Genomic DNA, 10,397 nt, shown 5'->3' on the forward strand with positions numbered 1-10,397 from the left:
GAATTTTTCTGGAGCCTTCATTATTAACATTCTTAGAGATTGATTAATCAGCTACCAACCTGCGAGCTTTATTTGTAGCATAATTCACAGGCAGGCGAGGAATTCAGGGAGCTGTCTTCCACATCTCTTCCCGCCTATTAGCTTCTTGACTGTACTCACTCCTGGATTTCCGATTCTCAAGGTAGTGTACTAATAATTCATTTAATGGACCAGCGTTTATCAAATAGCACAGCATGCATCTGAGTTCGTATTAGGTAGGACTAAATATTTTCCTTTGCTCTGGTGGAGGTAAACAGGAAAGAAGGAGAAATAAATACTTAGGGGAAAAAATGTGAGGACAGAGAAAAGACAGTAAGTAGGGCTATTTGTGCAGCTATGCTTAAGTGAGAGGTTAAGTGTAAGAATCGGGAAGTTTTATGAAAATGCCAGTTCCCAAATCTTCCAGCTGGAGGTTGGATTCAGGAGGCCTAGAGTAAGGCCCAGGAATCCAGATTTTTAACTGGCATGTATCCCTTAAGTCCATCCAATGGCCCTTCTGAGAAACACTAGCCTAAAAGACTTGGCCACTATTTATTTTCTCAGCTTTCTCTCCTCAACAAAGCACTTTCTCAAAGAACCATACACGTATTCTCACACTTTGAAAAGGGAGTATGAATAAATAAGTACATTTCCTGGTTCATGAAGTGTGATGGATCTGCTAGTTGCTACTTGAAAGTGAGGAAATAAATACAGAGAAGGCCAAGCATGGTGGCTTACCCCTGTAATGCCAGCACTTTGGGAGGCAGAGGCGGGCAGATCACTTGAGGTCAGGAGTTTGAGACCAGCCTGGCCAACACGGCAAAAGCCCGTCTCTACTAAAAATACAAAAATTAGCCGTGTGAATCCCAGCTACTCGGGAGGCTGAGGCAGGAGAATTACTTGAACCCGAGAGGCGGAGGTTGCAGTGAGCTGAGATTGTGCCATTGCATTCCAGCCGGGGCGACAGAGTGAGACTCAGTCACAAACAAACAAACAAACAAAAACAGGGAAAATTCCCTCTAAGTCTGCCTGTGCAGGGAGCCAGTGAACCAGGGAAGGATGGGAGAAAACATAACTTAGCAGGCAAAACATCTGGAAGAGGAGCTCCCTCAGCCTAAGGGGTCAATTGCCAGGGCCTACACAGCAATCAACACACAGGTTGATCTCCTTGAGCAGACGGTGTGACTGCTGCCACATTCTCCCTTCCCCACCTGGCAGTAAGTTCGTCAGCTCTGCTCAGCCACGTGTCATACATTACAGGCCAGAATTCATCATTTCAGTTTAAAAAAACAAAACTCTGCAAGCCTCAGGCCATGCTTTACTAGTAAGTGTGTATGGACAGTCTAACCCTGAGATACAGAAGAGTCCTCTCTTGGGCCCTCCACCTAAAAAAATTCCTGAAGAGCTGATGCCAACAGCTTCAGAGTAGGAGAGTCAAAAATTGGAGGGAGCCCTGGCCTTTGCAGCTGTTTAAGCAGAAGGAAGGCTCAGCTGCATGGGACTGGATCTGCTAAGAAAAGCAGTGGGATTTGGATGAACACTGCAGACTAATGAAGCTGGAATCTATGGGCGTGGGACCCAGGCACCTGTAACTGTTAAAGCTTCCCAGGTGATTCCAGTGGGGAGCCAACATTGAAATCCACCGGCCTAAAGGATGAGTGTAAATCAAAACCTGAGCGTTCATGCTAAAAACCAAGGTCTTGGCCGCGTGCTGTGGCTCACGCCTGTAAATGCCAGCACTTTGGGAGGCCGAGGCGGGCAGATCACGAGCTCAGGAGATCAAGACCATCCTGGCTAACACAGTGAAACCCCATCTCTACTAAAAATACAAAAAATTAGCTGGGCGTGGTGGCACACGCCTGTAGTCCCAGCTACTCAGGAGGCTGAAGAAGGAGAGTCACTTGAACCTGGGAGGCAGAGGTTGCAGTGAGCTGAGATCACGCCACTGCACTCCAGCCTGGGCAACACAGCAAGACTCCATCTCAAAAAAAAAAAAAAAACAAGATCTTGCCTCTTACAGGTCAATTACCTTGTGGCCCTCTTCACATGTTCTCGGTTGGAGCTGGTAGGGAACAACACAGAGGACCTGCCATGGGCATTATGGTGTGGGAATGGATGGAGGAGATGATTCGTCCTGAAAGAAATTGGTCTCCCAGAGAAGACTCGTTAGCATATTACTAACCCCTCACAGCCAGGAACAGATTTGGGACAGCTGTTGTGCAATTACTATCAAAGAGGTGCCTTCATCTGGCACATTCTCTACTTGGCCTGGTTCTTGAGAACAAACACCAAGCCTCATCTACCCATCCAGAAGAGCCCCAGAAGGAATATTGGCTGCACAAACACACACGTTATTCAGATTGTGGGTTCTTTACTTCAAGATTTTTCCATTGCAGATTTTACTCAAGAAGAATACATCACTCATTATAGCATGGGCTTTGCCTTTTATTTTATTTATTTGTTTGTTTGTTTGTCTGAGACAGGGTCTTGCTCTGTTGACCAGGCTGGAGTGCAGTGGTGCGATCATGGCTCACTGCAACCTCGACCCCCCGGGCTCAATCGATCTTCCTGCCTCAGCCTCTCAAGTAGCTGGGACTACAGGCGTGTGCCACCACACCCTGCTAATTTTTGTATGTTTTGTAGAAACAGTGTCCCTGAGGATAGGCAGAGACAATGGAGAGGGTGGGATTACCATCCCCACTCCTGGGAATCCTTCCCTGCAACTCTGCCAAAAGAGATACCAAATCAGAGTGGCTCTTCAGCAGCACTACACTGTGTAAGGCTTGTCCTTATACAGTGGGGTCTCGCTATGTTGCCCAGGCTGGTCCCGAACTTCTGGGCTCAGAGGATCTGCTGGCATCAGCCTCACAAAGTGCTGGGATTACAGGTGTCAGCCACCGTGCCTGGCCCAGGCCTTTCCTTTTGAATGAATGAATGGCTTCATCCCAAAGAAACAGTTGGATCCTACATCTAGGAAGATAGGTACCCATGTGTGTTCCATGGAAACACCACAGCTCATGATCATGGGCATCAGCTTATCAGACACATGAGGTTTCAATGAGCACCGCATGGACTGGAAGTCCGAGGAGGCCCAGAAGACAGGTCCAAGGCCTCCTTGCCTTAGAGAGGTTTTCTATCTTCTTCTGAAGGTCTCTGTCCTTCTTCCTTGCCTTGGAGGAGGTCTTCTATCCTCTTCTGAAATGACTGGAGAATCACTGTCTGGGAAAGCAGAGTGTTGACTTAGACTACTTTTATTTTGACTATTCTCTATTATTCTTTGTCTGTACGTGTGTGTACGTGTATTTTCCAATGGGAGAAGTAGAGTGCCTTGGTGAAGGGTAACCAACGTGTATATAACCCTAGGCTCATTTTTACAATTTATCAAAGAGTAGAGAGCTACCTCTGGGATAAAACCTTTCTACTCCATGTGATTGGAACCAGCAGCATTGGCATCACCTGGGAGCTTGTTGGAAATGCAGATTCTCATTCCATTCCCCAGACCTACTGAATCAGAATCTGCATTTTCATAAGATCCTGAATCAGAATCTGCATTTTTTTTTTCTGAGACAGAGTTTTGCTCTTGTTGCCCAGGCTGGAGTGCAATGGCGCAATCTCGGCTCACCACAAGCTCTGCCTCATGGGTTCAAGTGATTCTCCTGCCTCAGCCTCCCGAGTAGCTGGGATTACAGTCATGCGCCACCACGCCCGGCTAATTTTGTATTTTTAGTAGACACGGGGTTTCTCCATGTTGGTCAGGCTGGTCTCGAACTCCCAACCTCAGGTGATCCACCCACCTTGGCCTCCCAAAGTCCTAGGATTACAGGCATGAGCCACAGAGCCCAGCCAGAGAGAATCTGCATTTTAATAAGATCCTGGGTCAGAATCTGCATTTTATTATTATTATTATTATTTTATTTTATTTTATTTTTTGGAGATGGAGTTTTCACTTTTGTTGCCCAGGCTGGAGTCCAGTGGCATGATCTCGGCTGACCGCAACCTCTGCCTCCTGGGTTCAAGCGATTCTCCTGCTTCAGCCTCCCGAGTAGCTGAGACTACAGGCGCATGCCACCATTCCTGGCTAATTTTTTGTATTTTTTTAGTAGAGATAGGGTTTCACCATGTTGGCCAGGCTGGTCTCGAACTCCTGACCTCAGGTGATCCCCCTGCCTTGGCCTCCCAAAGTTCTGAGATTACAGGCTTAAGCCACTGCACCCGGCCAGAATCTGCATTTTCATAAGATCCCAGTTGATTCATGTGCATGTTAAAGTTTAGTGGAGAGTAGTAGGTAAGATAGAGCGCAGATTTGAATTCTAGCTGCGCTGTTACTGGCCACATCATTTGGGGCCAGTTGCTTACTCTCAGGCCTCTGTTTCCTACAGATGGCATCCCCAAGAACTCCTAGCTCATAGGGTTATTATAGGAGATCTGCTGAGTTCATCTATCTCCAGTGCTTAGAAGGATGCCTGGTTCATTCTAAATGATGCTTTTAGCTTTAATGATGATACTGGCTTGAAGTCACAGAACTGACACATGACATACACAAGTCTCCACGTGACAAAGACCTCCCCATGACGCAGCTTGCAATTCGATCGAATTTCTTTGCCTATCATGTGGCACAAATCAGCCTCACCATCTGTTTGCAAAAGGAAGCCTTAGTTTAAATAACTTTGTTGTAGTTTAAATAACTTTGTTGTTCTTGCCTTTTTCCAGAGAGAATTTCCCATTCCTGAACAGTTCAAGACAGCATGGGATGGATCCAAGTTAATCACTGAACCTGCAGAAATTATGGCCTAACTTCCTGAGAGACCGAACCCCCTCACCTGAATCCCCCTCTATCAAACAAACAAAAAAGCAGCAGTAAAGAGCTAGAAGTTGCAGTAGCCCCTACTGCTTTAGCTTTGGCCTCCAACGATTCTGTGCTATAGATACAGCACTGTTTCTGGCACGCCTCGTGGGCATTTTGAAATATTTAACGTTTCCTCATGATTTGCCTTTGTGTGTGATTTTAGTTCCACATGATGACTTGTGAACATTAGGGATTTAAAGGAAAAAAAAAAAGAATTCTGTTCCCCTCATATCATGAACACAGTAACTGATAGGTAAAAAGACTGCATGATTCACTTTTACACTTATATTTCATTGCTAGTTAAAAAATAAAACCTTTGAGAATCTAAGATGTACATTTTTACCTTTTAGGCAATTTCAATATAATGTAGAAGTAGTAGTGTGCCCTGAAAAATGTACACGTTTTTTCTTATTGTTACCACATGTTCACCTTTATCAGCGTGGATACTGTCAGCATGAGTACATATTTCAACCCACGCTTGTAAAAGACATAAGAGTTTATAAAGGACCAAATTCAGTTCCTTGGTCCTTGGAAGACCTATATTCTCTGTAGTTACTGAAAACCGAAAGTCAATTCTAATTATTCATCTTACATATTTTTCCACCATGTCATTTGAAAACTTGCTTTTCTTCTGCATAAGAGATTCTTATGCCAAAAACATTAAACAGAAGAAATCATTTTTTTTGCTATGTAATACCTCGCAACTTTGCTCTAAAATCAAGCTCAGTTATTATTTTCCAAGTTTGAACATGTTAAATATCAGATGCCTTGTAAATTATGTCTTTAACGTTTTCTTATAGACTAATTTCCTCTTTTCCACCTGCCAGACTTGCTAACCAAGCTCGAAAATGAACATGAAAAAGCCATACATGTATTATTTCTCCTAAAACCTAAGGCATTATCTGTTGGTTTGGCTTGCTGCTCCTATTTTGTAGTCTTGATAGTAGATGCTTCTTCAGCGTAAGAGTAGCTATGATATTCCTTTTTATCTTTTCAGTACATAGTGCTGAAAAATCTGCAACTTCTTGGATCATATTTAATGAATTATAGTATAATGCTTGCAGGCCCAGTACAAGCATATATATTGTGCCTCTTACAGCCTTTGGAATACATTGTTTCCATTTTTTAAATATCTTCTATATCCATATAGTATTCAAATTATTAATGCTCATGTACCAAGGTTTTGCTATAAAAGTTTTGTCTGTATGAATAATGTGGCTTTAGTAAATAATCATTTTTCAACTGTAAACTTATTCTGAAATAAAGTAAAATTCTAATTGTTTAAATACTGTGATGAATTCTGGATGTTAAAATGATTTCTTTTCTACTTTGATTTGCTCCTTGCTCATGTGTCAGACTTAGAAAAGACAGCTGACTCCTTCGGGTTGAATTAGAGAATTTATCCAGCATGCCATCAGCTTCCCTGATGAATGATGTCTCCTTTGAGATAGATATCAGATAAAGCCATTTGCAATTGGATTTACTGTCAGAAAATTCTAGAATTCAGTTTTGTAAATCAAGTCCTCTTTACTGAGAAAATCCTGCTCGCAGATCTTTGTTAATGTAAACATCCCAGAACATAAGTGATTTTATAAATACCATATATACCTTATAAACATATAACTATAAATAGCATAATAAATGTATAAGTAAACTCCTAAAAGAAAAAAACTGAGAACATCCTAAAATGGATATATTATATACCCATAATATAGTGATAATTTTGTATTGAGAAATAAATCCACCCATAATTCTTAGAATCTGTCAGCTTGCCTCATACTTGACATCAGTCTTTCAGCATGCCTCACCATATGTATTGAAAATCTGGACTTGAGGCTCAACGATTACTTTACCAGCCCTGTATCCCTTAAGCCAGGGATCCCCAACCCCCGAGCTGTGGACTGGTAGCTGGTCCGTGGCCTGTTAGGAACTGGGCGGCAAAGCAGAAGATGAAGGGCTGGCGAGCCAGAATTGTCACCTGAGTTCCACCTCCTGCCAGATCAGCCACAGCGTTAGATTCTCATAGGAGTGTGAACCCTGGTGTGAACTGTGCACGCGAGGGATCTAGGTTGCGTGGTCCTTATGAGCACCTAAGGCCTGATGATCTGAGGTGGAACAGTTTCATCTCGAAATTATGCACCACCCCCCCACCCTGTCTGTGGAAAAGTTGTCTTCCACAAAACCGGTCCCTGGTGCAAAAAGCTTGGGGACCACTGCCTTAAACCATCTACTTAAGTAACATAAGAGTAGGTTGAATTTGTTGAAAAACCTTTGGCAATGTATAAGCAATTACCAAAAACAATGCTGCATCACCAGTGTGCCTTGTTTCTTGCACCATTTGAATTCCTGTGTTACCAGTGCTGTGACCTAATTAATATTGTAAACGCATTAAGAAATCTGTACTTAGCACAATTGCTGTCACATCCATTCCCAAAAAGTCAAAATGAAAATCAGTGTCAGGGCCGGGCGTGGTGTCTCACGCCTGTAATCCCAGTACTCTGGGAGACCGAGGTGGGCAGATCACTTGAGGTCAGGAGTTCAAGACCAGCATGGCTAACATGGTGAAACCCCGTCTCTACTAAAAAAAAAATACAAAAATTAGCCAGGTGTGGTGGCACATGCCTGTAACCCCAGCTACTTGGGAGTCTGAGGCAGGAGAATCGCTTTAACCCAGGAGGTGGAGGTTGCAGTGAGCCACGATTGCGCCACTGCACTCCAGCCTGGGTGACAGAGCAAGACTTTGCCTCAAAAAAAAAAAAAAGCCTGGGTGCAGTGGCTCATGCCTGTAATCCCAGCACTTTGGGAGGCTGAGGCAGGTGGATCACGAGGTCAGGAGATCGAGACCATCCATACTAACACGGTGAAACCCCGTCTCTGCTAAAAATACAAAAAGTTGGCCAGGCATGGTGGCAGGCGCCTGTAGTGCCAGCTACTCCAGAGGCTGAGGCAGGAGAATCGCATGAACCCGGGAGGCGGAGCTTACAGTGAGCCGAGATTGCGTCACTGCACGCCAGCCTGGGCAACAGAGTGAGACTCCATCTCAAAAAAAAAAAAAAAAAAAATCAGTGTCAGAAAATTAAGTGCCAAGGGTCTCCTATATCTCGTTACTTTGTAGCATTACAGGATAAAAGTGACAATTCAAAAGAGGCCTTTGTTGTGTTGAAAATTCATTTTTTGATAATACTCTCCCCTTAGATAATCTATTACTGATAGTCGACCTCTCACAGCAAGCCATCTTGAAGTACGGCTTCAATTCCAACCACTCCTCCCTACATATAGAACTGGCAAGAAATAGGTATAGTTTGATTCACTTATTCTCTCCTTCATTGAAAATGTCTGCTGCAACTTCTTAGACTCTAGATGGGTTTATCTAGGGGATCCCTTCATTTTAAAGATGAGAAAGCTGAGACCCTGGGCTAGAACACAACGCACACCTTTGTATAACTACTGTAGTTTAGCTTCTAGTCTCAACATATGCCTCAGTCTCAGAGGTCATCAATCCAGTGGCTTCATCTCATCCTTCATCAGTTGAGATTCTCGACACTGCCTTCATCTTATTAAACTCTCTCTGATGTTGTGATTTACGATGTGCTTCTCTGGCTCCCTTCCCTCCTACCTTTTTTGTTTCCCTCTCAAATGCTCAAATACCTAATTTCAATACCTCTATGTAGATGACTCCCAAATCCACATTCCCAGCCCAAATCCACCTCCCCAGAGCCTTCACTCCCAAGTGTCCACAGAGTATTTCTACCTTCCTGTCCCAAACTCATGCAACATGGCTAAAATTAATGCACATCTCCCACACATATCTATCTATTCCTTATCTGCCTTTCCAGTTTCAGTCAATGGCCCCCTCACATTTATCATAGATTAAAAACCAGCCATTTGCTGTAATAAAAAATATGAAAGAGGCCAGGCACAGTGGCTCACGCCTGTAATCCCAACACTTTGGGAGGCCAAGGTGGGCAGATCATGAGGTCAGGGGTTTGAGACCAGTCTGGCCAACATGGTGAAACCCCATCTCTACTAAAAATGAAAAAATTAGCCAGGCTTGGTGACACACACCTGTAATCCCAGCTACTGGGGACGCTGAGGCAGGAGAATTGCTTGAACCCAGGAGGTGGAAGTTGCAGTGAGCCGAGATCGTGCCACTGCACTCCAGCCTGGGTGACAGAGTAAGACTCTATCTCAAAAAAAAAAAAAAAAAATGGCCAGGTGCGGTGTCTCACACCTGTAATCCCAGCACTTTGGGAGGCCGAGGCAGGTGGATCACCTGAGGTCAGGAGTTCGAGACCAGCCTGGTCAACGTGGTGAAACCCCATCTCTACTAACAATACAAAAATTAGCCGGGCATGCTGGTAGGTGCCTGTAATCCCAGCTACTCAGGAGGCTGAGGCAGGAGAATTGCTTGAACCTGGGAGGCGGAGGTTGCCGTGAGCTGAGATCATGCCATTGCACTCCAGCCTGGGCGACAAGAGAAAAACTCCGTCTCAAAAAAAAAAAGCAAAAAAACCCAAAAAAACATGAAAGAGAATCAGATCTTAGAGAAACCATGGTTCAGTCTTGAACACGTTTGATGCACGTTGTCTCTGTGACATTTAATTGGAGATGGAGAGTAAGCAGTTGGATATGTGAACCCCAAAATACTGAGACAGGTCTCAGTTAATTTAGAAAGTTTATTTTGCCAAGGTTGATGACACGCACCCATGACACAGCCTCAGGAGGTCCTGACAACATGTGCCCAAGGCAGTCAGACCAGTTTGGTGTTATACATTTTAGGGAGACATGAGACGTCAGTCAACATATGTAAGATGAACATTGGTTTGGTCTGGAAAAGCAAAGAGGGGGCTTCCACGTCATAGGTAGATGCATATCTACCTATGCATTTGTAGAGACAAATGGTTACATTCTTCTGAGTTTTTGATTAGCATCTCCAAAGGAGGCAATCAGATATGCATTTATCTCAGTGAGCAGAGGGGTGACTTTGAATAGAGTGGGAGGCAATTTTGCCCTAAGCAGTTCCCAGCTTTGACTTTTCCCTTTAGCTTAGTGATTTGGGGGGCCCAAGATATTTTCCTGTCACATTTCCCCCATTTTCTTTTTTAAAATCTTTTGGATAAAGCATTTTAGAAGAAAATGAGTCTCTAGTCTCTGGTTTCATCTGATTTATCATGGCTAGGATGGTTTATTCCTAGATAGGCAGTTCTTGAGTTATTAAGAAAGCTCGTTTTTGAAGATTATGAAGTCTCATGTCCTATGAAGATAAAATAGGGGGAGGAAGGAAGAAAACAACAACCAGAGCAATCCTGGAAAATCGATATAGGCCACATTACTCTGAAGTCCATACCGCAGTAAGCAGGTATGAAAGTGGCTTATGTATGTAAATAGGTTACAGTTATTTTCTTCCGAGATTTAAGTTGTCTAGCTTTAGTTTGCAGGGCTTTACGAAAGCACAGCTTAGTTTTCAGTGACTTCAAATTAGAAAAATTGGGGGAAAAAAAAGAAAAAAATTGAAAACATTATTTTGAAGACT

General features: G+C 43.6%; 1 protein-coding gene across 3 annotated transcripts in view; it reads left to right on the forward strand.

The window, feature by feature from the left end:
* The window catches only part of CAP2 (cyclase associated actin cytoskeleton regulatory protein 2), a 164,186-nt gene extending 158,036 nt beyond the window's left edge, over positions 1-6,150 (forward strand). For all 3 annotated transcript variants that reach the window (NM_006366.3, NM_001363533.2, NM_001363534.2), the window contains one exon: positions 4,729-6,150. In NM_006366.3, the coding sequence (NP_006357.1) occupies positions 4,729-4,812 (84 nt within the window). In that variant the 3' untranslated portion in view covers positions 4,813-6,150. The remainder of the gene's footprint in view (positions 1-4,728) is intronic.
* Positions 6,151-10,397: the final 4,247 nt, after the last annotated feature.

This window comes from Homo sapiens, chromosome 6 (assembly GCF_000001405.40).
Source record: "Homo sapiens chromosome 6, GRCh38.p14 Primary Assembly".
NCBI classification, from domain to species: domain Eukaryota; kingdom Metazoa; phylum Chordata; class Mammalia; order Primates; family Hominidae; genus Homo; species Homo sapiens.